This window comes from Homo sapiens, chromosome 4 (genome assembly GCF_000001405.40).
Source record: "Homo sapiens chromosome 4, GRCh38.p14 Primary Assembly".
In the NCBI taxonomy this organism is placed as follows: Eukaryota; Metazoa; Chordata; class Mammalia; order Primates; family Hominidae; genus Homo; species Homo sapiens.
In genome coordinates, this window is record NC_000004.12 from 306,674 (window position 1) to 325,930 (window position 19,257).

Consider the following 19,257-nt stretch of genomic DNA (forward strand, 5'->3'; position numbering starts at 1 on the left):
CATGAGTGCCCAAGCGAAACCCACAGCAGGTGGAAAGGGTGAAGCTAAAACCAAAATACTTATGTCATGTTAGGTAACATTATAAGGAGCTGGGTCAAGTTAATGACATTTAGGTTGATTTATTACACCTGGGCCTAAGTGGGGACAGTCCCTTCTGATCAACATCCTGGCATAAGAGGAAGTTCTTAACCACATTTCTTCCCACTAGCTACAAGGGTGGTGCATGTGCGGTCCCATGGGTGTTTTTCCTCTCCAGAGACCCTCCCTCCCTATCTTCCTAACTAGCTTCTGACTGCCTCCTCTCTCAGGGGTTCCTCTTCCTTTTAAATATCAGACAGTAAACAAGGAATGATGGGTCCACAGGAAGAGAGAGCACCATGTATTCAGATCTCTTCACAGCCTTGCCCTCCAGAGTTTAGATGTGGAGGGAATAGATTAAAGGCAAATTTCTTGTTTTGCTATTTATCTTTGGACCTGTCAGGCTGTAACTGTGTGTTTTTCTCCTGTGGTGTGGGGCACTGTGTGAGTTTAAGCACCAATCACATGCATCCACTTCTACCTGCACTTCTGTTCCCAGAAGGAAGGCCGTGAGTGTGAGTTGTCCAGGTCCTTGATATTTTGAACAAAGAATTGAACAAAATGCAAAATGGAACGAAACACATGAAGGAAACAGCAAAAGCAGGGGTTTATTAAAGCAAGAAAGCACTCCACGGGATGGGTGTGAGCCCCAGCAAGCAGCTCAAGGACCCGGTTACAAAGTTATCTGGGTTTTAAGTACTCCTTTTGAGGTCCCTATCAGCTACCCCTTATCTGGATGAAAGATTTGGTCCGTGGCTAATCAAAGGCTGAGGTGAATTGGTACCCCATGCAGATGAAGGCATGGCCTGTGCTTGGCCCACGGCCACTCCAAGTCACTCTCCTTTTCTATCAGAGAACTGGTGCAAAGGAGAGGGTTGTAGCAACAGTCACCTTTGATCCTTTGCTACTCAGGTGTAGATGAGGTTTTCCTTTTGGTTTAGATGTAGGAAGTTCACGTTAATTGGCCTTAGGTTCCCTGCTCCCAGACCTTGGTGTTTCTTCTTTAGGAATTCAGCACGAATTGGCCTTAAGTTCCCTGCCTCCAGACCCTATTCTCTTGCCTCACTTCTATATAAGTCAATACCATCTTACAACAAATTTAACTTTAAATAAAGGAAACACAATATCAATACTTACAGGGTGCCAAGCATTTGCAGGTTATTTGTAATCAATCTGTCCTGGAATCCTGGAATCCTGTCTTTAATGGGTGTATATATTACTAAGCTATAACTGCATAACAATCCTGAAACATACTAGCTCAGGGTTGAGCTGGTTAGAAATTTAGGCTGGGCTTAGCTGGGCCATTCTTCTGGGCTCAGTTTGGCTCCTTCAGGTGTGAGTGGTCAGATGCTGGTGAATTAGGTGGCTCTGCTTCTGGGAGTGAGCTGTCTGTAAACTGGCGCACTTTGGCTTTCCTCAGCATGCTATTTTATCCTCCAGAAAGTTAAAATGGGCTTGTTCTCATAGAGATGGAAGAATTCTGAAAAAGATAACAGAAGCATTTAAGACCTTTTGAACCTGGGCCCCAAACTGGCACACTGTCATATGCACAGCTTCGGCCTGTGCAAATAAGTCAAGAGAGATTCAAGTTTGGGAAACAGAATCTGTTTCTTGATAGGAACAACTATAAAAGCCATTTCCAAGAACATGAATACAATAAGAATTTTTTTAATTGCTGTTTTTGCGATCAATTTTATCATGACTTTTCTTGCAGATGTGGCTTATATAACTATCCCACAGCTACCAAGCAGCTGGCTTGGACTCAGGATTGATGCTTCCCTAACTCTGAAGCCCCTGCACCTCCATAGACCACACTACTCAGCCAGCTTTTCGTGTCCTTCACGGGGCTGAAGAGTGACACTTCTGAAATAGAAGCAAGATTTTTTTTTTTTTTAGAATCTCATCCCATCCACCCCTTACTCTTCACCATTGGAAATAATTCACTCCAGGGAATGGTTCTGAAGTCTCTTGGAAAAACTGGCAACAATTTGAGGAAATTGCTGAGCATTGGGTTTAGGAAATTAATGCCCAACGTTACATTTTTAATTTATCATAGGAGAAATTTGAAAACACCTATAATGCACTCAACATAGCTGCAAACTCTTTATTTTTTGTATTTGTAGACTATTTATGATTTTTAATATAGACTAAATCAAATTACTGTTCCTGAAACAACTTTTGCTCTGCAGGCAAGTGACATAGCAATAGGGCTGCTGATATTTTTTCCTGCTGCAATTTAGCCAACCAGCAGAGTATGCTTTGAAGGGCCAAGATGTTTTCTAAGACCCCACATTTAGGAGCAGCTATAGGGCAAATACCTAGAGCACACATAGAAATCACACATAACCAATTCATTCCTTGCCCTGAATCAATGCTTCTCACCCTTGGATGCACATTAGCCTGTTGTGCATGTAGGTGGTGGTATTTAAAGTTCCCAAACCCAAATTGCAAGGGAATAATTAAGCCAGAATCCCTAGCTTAAGACCCAGGCAAAAGCCAGTGTGATTTAAAGCTCTCCAGGTGATTACAATATGCAACCATACTCCCAAATGTCTGCTGTAAACCAACATCTTTCAGAGAACCAGTTGAAAATATTTCTCAAATTAATGTAAAAAGTGTTTGCTGTTGAGTTGTGGCCTTTCAGTCTTACTCATATTACCCACATTCTTTCCTTTGCAAAACTGACCTCTGCTACTTGTTTTGTTCCTGATTCAAACCAGTTCCACACACACTGAGTGCACACTGTGTGCAGCCCACTGTGCTAGGTGAATATTGTTGTGGAGGAAGGACTTTGCTGTAAGAAATTTACATTCCCCAAAACTAAAACCATGCTACTTACTCAATTGAAATAAAAAATGAAAGACTGAGGGGGACTCCCAAGGGTCAAGACATGTATGCATACCTTGGAATATTAGTATCCATCTCATGATGACTGAATGTAAATGCTCCACTATTTTTTTTTTTTTGATATGCAGTCTCACTCTGTTGCCCAGGTTGGAGTGCAGTGGACCGCGCCTGGCCAATGCCCCACTTTCAAACAAAACAATACGAAACATTGCTATTATTCTGAAATATTAAGTTAGTATTAAATATGTAATATTTACATTTTTATTGATGTATAACATACATACAGAAATGCATCCACAATGAAATATTAATGTAATGCTCAATAATTTATAACAAAGCTAATACATTCGTGTAACTATAGAATGGAACTACCCTTGTTTTTCCCCACAAACCACTTCTTCTTTTCCTTCCCCCCAAATCTAACCACAATCTTGAGCTAATGTTATAGATGGTTGTCTTTTTAGAAAAGTCTTTTATTAGAGAATATTTTAAACTTATACACAGTAACCAATATAGTATAATAGGCTGATGCTCAGCCTCAACATCTACTAATTTTGTCTCATTTATGTTTAATTTCTTCTTCACTTTTTTTTCTTTTTTTTTTTTTCAGACAGAGTCTTGCTCTTGTCGCCCTGGCTGGAGTGCTGTGGCGCGATCTGGGCTCACTGCAAGCTCCACCTCCCGGGTTCACTCCATTCTCCTGCCTCAGCCTCCCAGGTAGCTGGGACTACAGGTGCCCACCACCACACCTGGCTAATTTTTTGTATTTTTAGTAGAGATGGGGTTTCACCATGTTAGCCAGGATGGTCTCGATCTCCTGACCTCATGATCCACCTGCCTTGGCCTCCCAAAGTGCTAGGATTACAGGTGTGAGCCACCACACCCAGCCTCCCATCTCCACTTTATTATTGTTTTTAGTTATTTTCTGTAAGATAAGATGTATATGCATTGAAACATACAGTCTTTACTGTACCTTTTTGACAAATCAATACATCCATATAACCTTTTCTCTTTCAATCATAGAATTACTGCCACTTAACAATTATTAATATGCATGTGAATTACCTGGAAATATTTGAAATCCAGATTTTGATACAATATATCTGGGTTTTGCCTGAAAATGTGTATTTCTAACAAAGTACAGATTCATAGAGCACATGATAACTACAAGGTCTATTTTGTCTAAAGTGTATAAAACTTGATGAATAAAATTAAGAAAAATTGACCTCAGAGGAACAAATCAAAATGCATGTGCAATATGCTATCTGTAGGAGCATTTCATCAACAATGACTCACAGTCATGTGTGACCTTTACTGAATTGCCCAAAATTCAGTCATTTATACCAAGTGCACTTAAATTTCATAATTTCCTATTAAAATTATATTTAATGCCTTTACAAAATCTAACAGTTTTCTTATAAAATTAAGTAACAATATTTGATATGACATTATAAGTTCCATTTATATTAAACTTAAACTTACATAATTTTATTAGACTGTGTCTATGCATCTACCACTGGATATCCTTTTGGCTTCCAGCATTTGCACAGGCACCACAGCTGAGAAGCACAGGACAGATTCACTAGACACAGGATGTTCCCTGCATCTTTATCTCTAAAGTTCATCAGTTAGCCAAGTCAGGTGAGAATTGAGGTCATGTATTCGCTACCATATAGTGTCTCATGGACCCTCTCTTTAGAGGGAAAAGAGACTAGAAGATTCTTTTAGGGAGCAGTTCCTGGGACAAGGGCTAAGCTGCCTAAGGAGTGAGCATTCTGTCCAGCAGGTACAGACTTCTCAGAAGAGAAAGACGAGGCAGCCATTCTGAACCTGGAGCTCCATTGCCCCTTGTCCCATCTCATTAAGACAATTCTGAGGGGTTGTTCTGGAACATGTCTGGATGATGGCAGTTAAAAGACAGTATGAGCTTTGATGGGACTTGGGTAAGGTCTGTCATTGGAAGGTAGGAGGCCAATGCTCAGCCTCTCAGTTTGTGTTCTTGAGGACAAAGGGTTGCCATTTTAGGCCCTAGTCCATTTTCACTAAAGAGTAGGCTAGAGAGTCTGCATGGCTCCCAGATTCCATTTATGATTATTTCAGGGGGTGGGGTCAGGAAGGGTCTAAGTCTCAACATCTTTGGGAAATTCTGGAAAGCCTGTTTTGGAAACCCGGAAAGAACTCTTGCCTGGTGCCTGAATGCTTGATTTGCTGTTCTGCATTTATATATTCTTCGCAGCCAGATAGCCAGGTTTGCATTCACACCGACAGAGCTGTGAGTCACAGGTTGAAGTGGCCAGAATGAGTGTCTTGGTGGCAGGCTAGGGTACATTATGATAGCAAACTTCAAGACTGTTTACATGCAGCTTGGCAATCAGGGTTGAGTCCTAGCCCAGGTGCTTAGATGCAGCATGGGGCCAATCAATAAATCACGTCCAATCCTTCAGCTGTCTATGAGGTAAAAGGGAGCCCAGTTCATGTCTTGACTGGGGGGCTCTACCAGGTGTTTAGATGACACCCTGGATTTCTTGACTTCTGACTTACTTATAAGAACAGATTCAGGACAGTTGTATTCTTGGATGTGTGAACTGTCATTACCCTGCTAGGATAATGTGAGACAGATTGCATTAAAATAGAAGGTGTTAGAAACCCCTGACAATAGGGAGAAAAATCACAAACTCAATTAAAAAATACACAGAACTTATTTAAAAAATTACACATTAAAATAAGTTGGCCGGGCGCAGTGGCTCACACCTGTAATCCCAGCACTTGGGAGGCGAGGTGGGTGGATCACAAGGTCAGGAGATTGAGACCATCCTGGCTAACATGGTGAAACCCCATCCCTACTAAAAATACAAAAAGAAAATTAGCCTGGAGTGGTGGCAGGTGCCTGTAGTCCCAGCTGCTCTGGAGGCTGAGGTGGGAAAATGATGTGAACCCGGGAGGCGGAGCTTGCAGTGAGCCGAGATGGCACCACTGCACTCCAGCCTGGGCGACGGAGCAAGACTCCATCTCAAAAAAAAAAAAAGAAGTAAAAATGGCCATTTTGCTGGGCGTGGTGGCTCACGCCTGTAATCCCAGCACTTTGGGAGGCTGAGGTGGGTGGATCACCTGAGGTCAGGAGTTCGAGACCAGCCTGACCAACATGGAGAAACCCCGTCTCTATTAAAAATACAAAATTAACCAGGCTTTGTGGCACATGCCTGTAGTCCCAGCTACTCGGGAGGCTGAGGCAGGAGAATCACTTGAACCCTGGAGGTGGAGGTTGCAGTGAGCGGAGATCGTGCCATTACACTCCAGCCTGGGCAACAAGAGGGAAACTCCATCTCAGAAAAAAAAAAAAAAAAAGGCCATTTTTCACAAGGCGCCCAACTTCAATGTGGTTAGAAAAAAAAGCTCCAAAATATATGAATTTTGTCTGGCATCACTTTGGGAAATTAAATGTTTTCTAACATTGTCTCTTTTTATGAGCAGTAGAAACACACTGTTCATGCTTGTAAAGTGTATAAACGGTCAATAACCTTTTGAAAGATAATTTGAAAATATGTATCAAGAGTTGAAAGAAGCCAAGCACGATAGCTCACACCTGTAATTTCAGCACTTTGAGAGGGGAAGGTGGGTGACTTGCCTGAATCCAGGAGTTCAAGATCAGGCTGAGCTACATGGCAAAAACCCCTATTTTTGCATATAAAAAATGCAAAAAATGGCCAAGTGTGGTGGCTCACACCTGTAATCCTAGCACTTTGGGAGGCTGAGGTGGGAAGATTACAAGGTCAGGAGTTCGAGACCAGTCTGGCCAACATGGTGAAACCCCGTCTCTACTGAAGATACAAAAATTAGTGGGGCCTGGTGGCACACACCTGTAGTCCCAGCTACTCGGAAGGCTAAGGCAGGAGAATCACTTGAACCCGGGAGGTGGAGATTGCAGTGAGCAGAGATTGCACCACTGCACTCCAGCCTGGGTGACAGAGTGAGACTCTGTTTCAAAAAAAAAAAATGCAAAAACTACCGTGGTGTTGTGGTCTGAGCCTGCAGTTCCAGCTACTTGAGAGGCTGAGGTGAGAAGATCAGTTGAGTTTGGGAGGTATAGGTCCTAGGAGCTGAGATTGTGTCATTGCACTTCAGCCTGGGCAACAGAGTGAAACCACATTTAAAAATAAAAAAGAAGTTGAGAGTTACATGTTCTTGCATAAAGGATTCTACCTGTTGAAGGACATTTCATAAGAAACTTGAGCATCTGCACAGAGATGCTCACACTAGCATGTTGTTGGTGGGCATATACATAATCAATAAATAAGAAGAAACAAGTGGAAGTAAAAAAAGAAAAAGAAGAAGGAAAAGAAGGAGGAAGAGGAGGAGGAGAAGAAGAAGGAGGAGGAGGAGGAAGAAGAAGAAGAAGGGGTGCACACATATACGTGAATTTTTTTTGGTCATGAACACCTAGAAAATATCTTTCTTGACATTAGGAAAGAATTGGGAAAGAATTTTTGGCCAAGTTCCCAAAAGCAATTGAAAGAAAAACAAACATTGACAAACAGGACCTAATTAAACTAAAAAGCTTCTGCACAGCAAAAGAAGCTATCCACAGAGTAAACAGAAAATTTATAGAATGAAAGAAAATCTTTGAAAACTATGCATCTGACAAAGACCTAATTTCCAGAATCTGTAAGAAATGTAAACAACCAAAAAAGCAAACCAAAACAAAATAAGCCTATTTTAAAATGAGCAAAAACATGAACAGATACTTATCAAAGGAGAATTTACAGGCACCCAACAAACATGAAAATATGCTCCACATCACTAATCATCAGAGCAATGCAAATCAAAACCACAGTGAGATAACATCTCACACCAGCCAAAATGGCTATTATTAAAAAGTCAAAAAAAGGAAGATGTTGGTGAGGCTGTGGAAAAAATGGAACACTTATACACTCCTGGTAAGAATGTAAATCAGTTCAGCCACTGTAGAAAGCAGTATGGAGATTTCTCAAAGAACTTAGAACTACCATTTAATCTGGCAATCCCAGTACTGGGTATTTATTCCAAAGAAACCCAATTATTCTACCAAAAAGCTGTCAGTGGATCTACAATTCTGGGGTCTGGAGGATAGTGGCTCTCTTCTCACAGCTCCACTAGGTGGTGCTCCAGTGGGGACTCTTTGTAGGGGCTTCTAACCCCACATTTGCCTTCCATACTGCCCTAGCAGAGGTTCTCCATGAGGGCCCTGCCCCTGCAGCAAACTTCTGCCTAGGCATCCAGGAATTTCCATACATCATCTGAAATCTAAACGGAGGTTCCCAAACCACAATTCCCAACTTCTGTGCACCTGCAGTCTCAACACCAGGTAGAAGATGCCAAGGCTTGGGGCCTCCACCCTCTGAAGCAATAGCCCAAGCTGTCCCTTGGCTCCTTTAAGTCACAGCTGGAGTGGCTAAAACACAGGGCACCAAGTCCCTAAACTGCACACAGCAGAGGGACGCTGGGCCTGGCCCACAAACCATTTTTTATTCCTAAACCTCCGGGCCTGTGATGGGACAGGCTGCCACAAAAGTCTCTGACATGCCCTTGAGACATTTTCCCCATTGTCTTGGTGATTAACTTTTGGCTCCTCATTACTTATGCAAATTTTTGCAGCTGGCTTCAATTTCTCCTCGGAAAATGGGATTTTCTTTTCTATCACATTGTCAGGCTGCATATTTTCCAAACTTCTATGCTCTGTTTCCCTTGTAAAACCGAAAGTCTTTAACAGCACCCAAGTCACTTCTTAAATGCTTTGCTGTTTAGAAATTTCTTCCACCAGATACTCTAAATCATCTCTCTCAAGTTCAAAGTTTCACAAATCTCTAGGACAGGGGCAGAATGCTGCCACTCTCTTCGCTAAAACATAACAAGAGTCATCTTTGCTCCAGTTGCCAACAAGTTCCTTATCTCCATCTGAGACCACCACAGCCTGGATTTTATTGTCCATATCATTATCAGCATTTTGGTCAAACCCATTCAACAAGTCTCTAGGGAGTTCCAAAACTTTCCCACATTTTTCTGTCTTCTTCTGAGCCCTCCAAACTATTCCATCCTCTGCCTGTTACTCAGAACTTCATTTCTGGTTACCTTTTGAGCAGTGTCTCACTCTACTGGTACCAATTTACTGTATTAGACCGTTTTCATTTTCACGCTGCTGATAAAGACATATCCAAGACTGGGCAATTTACAAAAGAAAGAGGTTTAATGGACTTACAGCTCCACAATGCTAGGGAGGCCTCACAATCACGGCGCAAGCTGAAAGGCACATCTCACATGGCAGTGGACAAGAGAAGAGAGCTTGTGCAGGGAAACTCTCCTTTATAAGCAAGCCATCAGATCTCATGAGACTTACTCACTATCACGAGAACAGCATGGAAAAGACCTGCCCCCATGAATCAATACCTCCCACTGGGTCCCTCCCACAACACATGGGAATTCAAAATGAGGGTTGGGTGGGACACAGCCAAACCAAGTCAGGCTCCTCCTGGGCTTCTGTTGTTTTCTGGGTGAATGGGTGATCCCTTCCCCTAGAGGACTCCACCTTAACCCAGCCCCTCCCAGTCAGTAATCTCCCCTACTAGTCCCCCAGATGCTAATTATTGCTCACTTGAGTCTTTCTCACCCTAATTGAAAATTAATGTCTGATTCCTCTCTCTCCCCTGCATAACCTCTGTGAAAAATGTCAGATGCCTTAGACCCAGGAGGTTTCCTGCCTGTATTTCCTTTCCCAGCTCTCTCTCCCAGGTATGTAGACTCCATAAATTCCTTCACACATATGTGTCCAGAGCGTACCCTGTTCCAGCCCCTGGGGATATAGCAGTGAACAAAAAAAAATGCCCCCATCCTGCGGGAGCTTGAGTTCTAGTTGGGGAGACAGATAAGAGTCAAGACGAATAAATAATATGTAAGTGTGATCGATAGCGATAAGGACTGTGGAGAAAAAGAGATTGAGAAAGGAAGACAGTAAATCCCCGGGGGGAGGCAGTTCTGCAACTTTAGAGGCAGATCAGGGAAGACCTCACTGTGAGGGTAACATTTAGGCAAAGGCTTGAAGGAGGTAAGGGAGGGAGCTGTGCAGCTATCTAAAGGAAGAGCAGTCCAGGCAAAAGGAACAGCAGGTGCAGGGGGCCTGGGAAGCCCATATGTTCCAGGAACAGCACAGGGCCAGGGTGGCTGCAGGGCAGCAAATGAGAGGAGGTGCAGTGGGAGGTGAGCTCAGGGGGGTGACGTGCAGGCAACATGGGCCAATTCTCCAGGGTCCTCCGGGTCATCTTAAAGCCTCTGGTTTTTACTCTGATGAGACAGGAAGCCAGTCCATGGTTCTGTGCAGAGCACTGATATGATCTCACCCAGTGTTGGGTTGCAAAGGCACTTCAGGGGTCAACAATGGAAGTGGAGACCAGTTAGGGGGAGAGGGATGAAGGCAATGAGTAGTCATGGGGGATGAGAAGCAATTGAAGGTGGGGCCCACAGGAGGTGGGTGTGAGAGAGGAGGTGAGGACAGTGGCCTGGATCACTAACTGGAAGGATGGGGTTTTGGGAGGAGCAGGTCTGGGGAGGAGGATGCAATGTGGGCAGCCTGCACACAGCACTTACAGCCTTCTCTCCAGCTGTGTGTCAGTGGGTACTTGCCGCTGTGCTTTTGCACATGCTGGCCTCTGTGCCTGCCAGTCATTCCTTGCCCTGGGAGAAGAACTTTAACTGCCCTCTCAAGGGTACCTTCTGTGAATCAGTCCTGTTGGCCTCCACCTCCTCTATCCCTCTCTTTGCTTCATGCACATGCTGGAACTCATGCACATTGCACAACCTCGACCATATTGTGCCCTGGAAGGTGCCCCAGAAATAAGGACAGCGTGCCATCCATCCCTGAAGCCTGTGTTTCTCAGAGTGCCCACACCTCAGAGTGTCCACCACACAGTAAAGGCTCAACCACAGACTGACTGCGGACCTGACTGGGGTCTTGCTCTCCCTTTAACTTTAAGCCCCAATTGGCAGCAATCGCAGAGCTTTGTCCCTCCCTGTGAGCCTGTCTGGCTGTTTATGCTGGATGACATGCACCCCCTCTGCCAGGAGTGCATAGTCTATGGCCTGGCCAGGCAGCCATTGCAGATGAGAAGAGCTTCAACCTCAACTTTATTGTGCTGCTGGGTTTTTTCTGCTGGCTCTTAGCACGTTTCTCATGAGCCATGATTAGCCTCAGGTCTATGGAACCTTCTGCAGCTATGTCATGGTGACTGAGGACATCATCTGAAGCATGTGCCACTGCTACCCCAAGGCAGGTGTTGGTGAGGCTGTGTGGGGATAGGAGGGTTGGAGACCATGCCTCTATCTCATAAATGAATTCTTCATCCTTCAATCATCTCCTCATTCTCATTTTGACTCTCTGTTTATTTCTTACTGCTCTCATGAGCATTCATCCATCCATCCATGTTTCCATCCATACTTTCATCCACCCATCCATTCATCTATTCATCCATCACTTAGCAGAGGGGTTGATCAGAAGCCCCCAGGATCTGAAACCATGAAACAAATACCATGGAAGGGAAGAAATGAAGCACAACACATTACTCACGTGCTTAAACTAAAAGACAATGAGTGCTTTAAAGCTGAGGCTGAGAAAGTGAGGTTCTATAGCTGAGTGGCAGGGTTTGGATTGGAGCTCAGATGTGCAAATGTAGGCATCATTCTTGTTTTTGATTTCTCCATTTCAGGGTCCCAGAGCTTTCTGGGGTGGGTCAGGTCTAATCTTGGTGGAATGCATTAAGCAATTCCTTTTTTTTTTTTTTTTTTTTTGAGATGGAGTCTCACTCTGTCGCCAGGCTAAAGTGCAGTGGCACAATCTTGGCTCACGGCAACCTCTGCCTCCTGCTTACAAGCAATTCTCCTGCCTCAGCCTCCCAAGTAGCTGGGACTACAGGTGCACACCACCACACCTGGCTAATTCTTGTATCTTTAGTAGAGAGGGAGTTTCACCACGTTGGCCAGGATGGTCTTGATCTCTTGACCTCGTGATCCGCCTGCCTTGGCCTCCCAAAGTGCTGGGATTACAGGCGTGAGCCACCGCATGTGGCCTGAGCAATTCTTTATCTTTTGGAGTCTTAATGTATTCCTAGCCCTAGGAGTGATTTAGGATGGGAAAAGCACTGGTATGAGAGTCTTGTGTTCTATTCCCAGTTCTGTCGCAAACTTTGTGTGTGATTTTTGTCTTTCTGAGCCTCAGCTTTTTATCTGAAAAATGGGACTCAAGCCTCTGTTTTGCACAGCCTCACAGGGTATAAAGATCAGAGAAGAGATTATAGAGAAGACAATTTTGTAAACTCTACAGTGTTGTAGGTAGGTGAAAGGCTGCCAGGTACTGATAACCCTGAGAGAAGGACATGTCAGCTCCAAAATCAAATCTGTTACTTTTTCATTTTTATTTTTAACTTTAGACACAAAAATGTTTCCTTTTTCTTGAAGTACATGCTTAAGAAGCTCTGATAACAACATGAATGTTTTTCTCTCTCTTTTTTTTTCTGAGATGGAGTCTCACTCCATTGCCCAGGCCGGAGTGCAATGGCGCAACCTTGGCTCACTGTAACCTCTGCCTCCTGGATTCAAGCAATTCTCCTGCCTCAGCCTCCCGAGTAGCTGGGACTACAGGCGCACACCGCCATGCCCAGCTAATTTTTTGTATTTTAGTAGAGACAGGGTTTCACCATGTTGCCCAGGCTGGTCTCGAACTCCTCCACCTGCCTTGGTCTCCCACAGTGCTGGGATTACAGGCATGAGCCACTGTGCCCGGCCCTGTTTTTCTTTTGAAAATATTTTAATTTACTTTTTTTGTTGAAGGTATTGCAGGTAAGTATTCATTTCTAGCTTTAAAGATAATTTATCTCAGATTCATTTATGTTTCTTTTTCTGGTTTTCATTCTATGCAGCTGTGGAAATGTTACTTCCATCTTTGTACATTTTTTTTTCTCTCACTGATTTATACTGTTTTTTTCTACTGTGGTCTCATGCAGCTTGGCTATTTTTCAGTATTTAATCTATTTATGTTGTTGACACACTGCATTTCTGAATTCAAAGACTTATGTCTGGTTTTCGATTTTAGAAACTATAAGTCACCAAGTCTGAATATTGACTTTAATTTTGAAAATATATTCTGTAGGCCAGGCACAGTGGCTCACGCTCACGCAGTGCTGTAATCCCGGCACTTTGGGAGGTCGAGGCAGGTGGATTACCTGAGATCAGGAGTTCAGGACCAGCCTGGCCAATATGGGGAAACCCCATCTCTACTGAAAATACAAAAAATTAGCTGGGCGTGGTGATGAGCACCTGTAATCCCAGCTACTTGGGAGGCTGAGGCAGGAGATTCACTTGAACCTGGGAGGCGGAGGTTGCAGTGAGCCGAGATCATGCCATTGCACTCCAACCTGGACAACAAGAACGAAACTCCACCAAAAAAACACACAAACAAATGAAAATATATTCTGTAGAAACAATTGGGTTTGTTTTAGTTCCTTTCATCCTACTTTTCATACATGTATATTTGAGGTTATATAACTTCTCCTTTTCTGTTTTTACACTGATTCTGCTCAGTATTATAGTTGACTAATCTCATCAGCTAAGACAAATGTTTCAGTGATATGTTGTAAATTAAGTAGATTATTTACATTTTTAATTGTTTGCTTCATATTTGGCTGTTTTTCAAATATGACTTGTCACCCTCATATCTTCTTGTTCTTTCCACATTATTAATATGTTGTCTATTTTCCTGATTGTATTGCCTTGAAACATTTTAAATGTAAATCCTGTAAATGTAGGCAACATAAGTTGTAATTGTTTCACATTAATGGGAGATACCACAATTGCAATGTCTGCAGTTAGTTTATGGTTCTTTCCCCATTTGCCTATGTCAACTTGGTCAACCCCCAGGAACTTGTCATCTCTGTCTTTACCTATATCCAAGAAGAGCTCTTGTTTCTTAGATTGATCACATTCTGGATAGTTTATTTGGTCTTCTTCACTACCTAGAAAGTTCTCATATTTTTCTTGCTACTCTACTCAGAATTTTAAAAGTTCTTGTTGCTGGGCGTGGTGGCTCATGCCTGTAATCCCAAGCACTTTGGGAGGCCAAGGTGGGTGGATCATGAGATCAGGAGATTGAGACCATCCTGGCTAACACGGTGAAACCCCGTCTCTACTAAATATACAAAAAATTAGCTGGGCATGGTGGCGGGCGCCTGTAATCCCAGCTACTCAGGAGGCTGAGGCAGGAGAATCGCTTGAACCCAGGAGGCGGAGGTTGCAGTGAGCCCAGATGGCACCACTGCACTCCAGCCTGGGTGACAGAGAGAGACTCTGTCTCAAAAAAAAAAAAAAAAAAAAAAAAAAAAGGCCGGGCGCGGTGGCTCACGCCTGTAATCCCAACACTTCGGGAGGCTGAGGTGAGTGGATCACCTGAGGTCAGGAGTTCGAGACCAGCCTGACCAACATGGAGAACCCTCATCTCTACTAAAAATACAAAATTAGTCGGGCATGGTGGTGCATGCCTGTAATCCCAGCAACTTGGGAGGCTAAGGCAGAAGAATCGCTTGAACCCGGAAGGCGGAGGTTGCGGTGAGCCGAGATTGCGCCATTGCACTCCAGCCTGGGCAACAAGAGTGAAACTCTGTCTCAAAAAAAAAAAAAAAAAAAAGGTTATTGTAACTTCCTAAGAATTTTAGCTTTCTATATTTAAAGTTTCTAGAATATGTATTTTCCCAAACAGCAAACATATCAACAAAGCATCCCTGAGAAAAATATTTCACAATTTTTTTGGCAGAGAACAGCATCTCATGAAAAATTTCAAGTTATTTAGAATATATCTTTCCCTCAATTATACTACAAAGTAACAATAATTCATAGAGTGTATTTTTACTACAGAAAAACTGATTTTATGTCTTCACAAAATTTTGAAAACTACCCCAACTGGAAGGAATAATATCTAAATATGGGCAGAATGCCACTTTCCTCTATGATTAAGATAACACTCGCAGGATTATTTACTGAAATTCAGGGTTTTGGCGTCAATCACCATGCTTCATCATGAACACTTTTCTGAATCCAAATTCTATTTGAATTTTCTATTTAATCCAGAAATTAATTTTTTAAATCTTATAGAAGTTTTATGTAGATAGATATTACTTGTGAACTCACTTTAGTAGATGCCTTCGACTGTTATTTACAATGCCTAGAAAATACTACCTGCTGGGTTTTTGCTCTCATGCATTCAACGACATATTTCGGTCCTAAAACCTTTCCATTTAATGGGTATTTTTTGTTTACTGGTTAAAAATTATTCCCATTGGAGCGCCTCTGCCCGGCGACCCCATTGTCTGGGAAGTGTGGAGCGCCTCTCCCTGTCTGTCGCACCATCTGGGAAGTGAGCAACGCCTCTACCCGGCAGCTGTGCAACCCTCCAAGTGTGAAGCGACAGCCTTGTGTGTGATCTTTCTGCCTTCCCCAGGTTTGCATTTTCGACGTTAAAGTTTACTTTTAAATTAAAAGTTAAAAAAAATTCTTCCCATTTATTTCTATGGCTATTTAGTCAAACTTTCTTATACAGCCATTTAACATTATTTATGTTCATGTAGTTGTTGTATACCAAAATAGTTAATTGATGCAATGGCCTTAATATAACTTAATAGGCCGGGCGCGGTGGCTCATGCCTATAATCCTGGCACTTTGGGAGGTCAAGGCGGGAGGATCACGAGGTCAGGAGTTCGAGATCAGTCTGACCAACATGGTGAAACCCCGTTTCCATTAAAAATACAAAAATTAGCTGGAAGTGCTGGTGCGTACCTGTAATCCCAGCTACTCAGAAGGCTGAGGCAGGAGAATCGCTTGAACCAGGGAGGCGGAGGTTGCAGTGAGCCAAGATTGTGCCATTGTACTCCAGCCTGGGTGACAGAGCAAGACTCTGTCTCCAAAAAAAAAAAAAAAAAAAATATATATATATAAAAATCAGAGTGAAAATGTGAGTGGCTAGGAGAGGGAGTGGATGTAGAAAGCGAAATTGTAACAAGTTTCACTTAGATGAGAGAATAAGTATTAGTGATTGATTGCACAGAATGGTGACTATAATAAATAATAATGTATTGTATATTTCAAAATTGCTATGAAGTAGATTTCAAAAGTTTTCACCACAAAAAAATCATATGTGAGCTAAAGAATTTGTCACTTAGCTCAATGTAATCATTTTACAGCATAAAAATATCAAAATATGACATCATACTCAACAAATATATACAATAATAATATTTCAATTAAAAGTATAATTTTTAAAGGTACCGGTTTTTCTTATTCAATAAATGTTTAATATATTCACTTTAAACTCTTAGGTGTTAAGCCTATAAATGTTTAATGGCTTAGAATAATGTCTCACACATTGTATGCACAAAATACTAATGACAATAATGGTCAGATTACCTTATGCTCATAGTTTTCTTTAAAGACAATATTATTTTGTATTTGTTCTTATTAAAATGTATTTTCTTTCTTTTTTTTTTTTTTTAGACGAAGTCTTGCTCTCGTCCCCCAGGCTGGTGTGCAATGCTGTGACCTCAGCTCACTGCAACCTCTGCCTCCCGGGTTCACATGATTCTCCTGCCTCAGCCTCCCAAGCAGCTGGGATTACAGGTGCGTACCACTGCGCCTGGATAATTTTTTGTATTTTAAGTAGAGATGGGGTTTCACCACGTTGGCCAGGCTGGTCTTGAACTCCTGACCTCAAGTGATCCACCCACCTCAGCCTCCCAAAGTGCTGGGATTACCGGCATGAGCCACCGCACCCAGCCCGTATTTTCTGTCTTACTTAAATATTGATAAATATAGAAGGGAGGCTTTGTTCTCCTGCTTTATACATTCCAAAGTCAAATTGCAATTTTATTAACTTCCTTCTTATTCAGTAATTCATTTGTCTCCCACAGTAAACGTAAGTATTAACTAACACAATTATAGTCATATTCTCCATCTTAATAATGCAGTAAAATTTGTGTTATTCATTGACTGGGTTATAGCCTCATATTTTTATCTCATGTTATTTCATGTGAAGTACCTAAGATATAAATTTTTATAAAATACTATGAACTAAAAATAAATGTCTTTTGCTTGAGCTCAGGAGTTCAAGACCAGTCTGGGCTACATGGAAAGACCCCATCTCTACTAAAATTACAACAGACAGCCAGGAATGATGGTGTATGCCTGTGATCCCAGCTACCTGGGAGGCTGAGGCAGGAGGGTCCCTTGAACCAAGGAGGCAGAGGTTGCAGTGAGCCAAGATCATGCCACTGCACTCCAACCTGGGTGACACAGCGAAGCTTTGTCTCAAAAAAAAAAATACATACATACATAAATGTCTTAATAGGCAAAAATTATGATAGTAATGTTATAGTTACAATGTCATAGTAATCAAATAATGTAGTACCACCATAGGAATAGAATTATGTAAATTAAAAGAATAAAATTGAAGGTATATTAATAAACACATTAATTTTAGGTAAACATAATTTTGTCAGTCATGCTAGGAAATTCCAATAGGAGAAATTGTTCAAAACATAATGCTGAGAAATCAGTTTTCAACATGCAAATATAATGGATATACATACATATATGTTAAATAGAATAGAGTAAATGAATAGCCATATAACAAGTAAAAAGAAAGTATTAATTAAATTATTTTCACATAGAAAAGCTCAGTGTCAAATTGCATAAATTCTAAATTTCACCAATATTTAATAATACATAGTATAATTTTTTCACAAAAACTTTCAGCAATAGCAGAGATAACATTTTTCTATTAATCTATTAGCCAGGGGTACTGTGGTACCAAAACCGTGGCTGGGCGCGGTGGCTCACGCCTGTAATCCCTGCACTTTGGGAGGGCCAAGGTGGGCAGATCACAAGGTCAGAAGATCAAGACCATCCTGGCTAACACGGTGAAACCCGTCTTTACCAAAAATATAAAAAATTAACCGGGCATTTTGGCGCGTGCCTGTCATCCCCACTACTTGGGAGGAGAATTGCTTGAACTAGGAAGTCAGAGGTTGCAGTGACCCAAGATTGTGTCACTGCACTCCAGCCTGGGCGACAGAGTGAGACTCTGTCAAAAAAAAAAAAAAACAAAAAAACAGACAAAATAATCACACATAAAGAACACTATGAACCAAAATTCCATATAAATATAGAATTCCTGATGAAATTATTAGAAATGTTAGCAAACTAAATCCAGCAACATGTAAAACTGATTGCATACCATGACCACGTAATAGTTTGTCATAAATGCAGTGTTGGCTTAATATTTTAAAAATCAACCAACATATTACAAAATGTTACCTGAAGAATAGAAAAAGGTGATAATTTAAATAGACACAAAAAGTATGACAGATCCAGCACCCATTCATTATAAAACACTCAGAAATCTACTAGAAAGGAACTTGTTAAGACCTGCTAAAAAGCATCTATAAGAAATCAATACCTGGCCGGGCATGGTGGCTCATGCCTGTAATCCCAGCACTTTGGGAGGCCAAAGTGGGCGGATCACCAGGTCAGGAGATCAAGACCATCCTGGCTAACACGGTGAAACCCCATCTCTACTAAAAATACAAAAAATTAGCCAGGCATGGTGGCGGGCGCCTGTAGTCCCAGCTATTCAGGAGGCTGAGGCAGGAGAATGGCGCGAACCCGGGAGGCGGAGGTTGCGGTGAGCCAAGATTGCACCACTGCACTCCAGCTTGGGCGACAGAGCAAGACTCTGTGTCACAAAAAAAAAAGAAAGAAAGAAATCAGTAGCTAATAGTATACTTAATGGTAGATGATTGCAGGCTGTATCTGTAAGTTTAAAAATGGAACAAGAATGTACACTTTTTCCACTCTGTTTAACATTGTACTGGAAGTATTAGCCAGAAAACTATACTGGATAAATAAATAAAACCCTCAGATTAGAAAAGAATTAGAATACTATTTTCTTGCCACAATGTTATATAAAAAACTATAATAAATTTACCAAAAATGTACTTGAGTTAATAAACAATTTTATTAATGTCACAAAATACAAGATTAATAAACAAGGTTAAATAATACTTTTATATAACATAATCAACAGACTGAAAATCAAATTATGAAAAAAATAATGTCATAAAAACCATTTAGGAATATATTAAAAGCAAGTACACATGCTTTACATTGAAAATTATTTAAAATGCTGAAAGAAAATTTTAAAACTCTATAAGTAAAGATACATCTAATATTCAAGGTTATCAATGAGAAATATTAAGATCAAAATACCCAGCA

The 19,257-nt window shown here is 41.6% G+C and overlaps 1 long non-coding RNA gene across 1 annotated transcript; it reads right to left on the bottom strand.

Annotated features, from left to right (window-relative positions):
- Nucleotides 1-661: 661 nt before the first annotated feature.
- Nucleotides 662-3,117, bottom strand: LOC105374336 (uncharacterized). Its single transcript, XR_925020.3, has 2 exons — nucleotides 2,981-3,117; nucleotides 662-1,558 (listed from the first exon to the last, which is right to left on the bottom strand). It is a non-coding gene; the product is annotated as an uncharacterized LOC105374336 (long non-coding RNA).
- Between the last annotated feature and the right edge of the window lie 16,140 nt (nucleotides 3,118-19,257).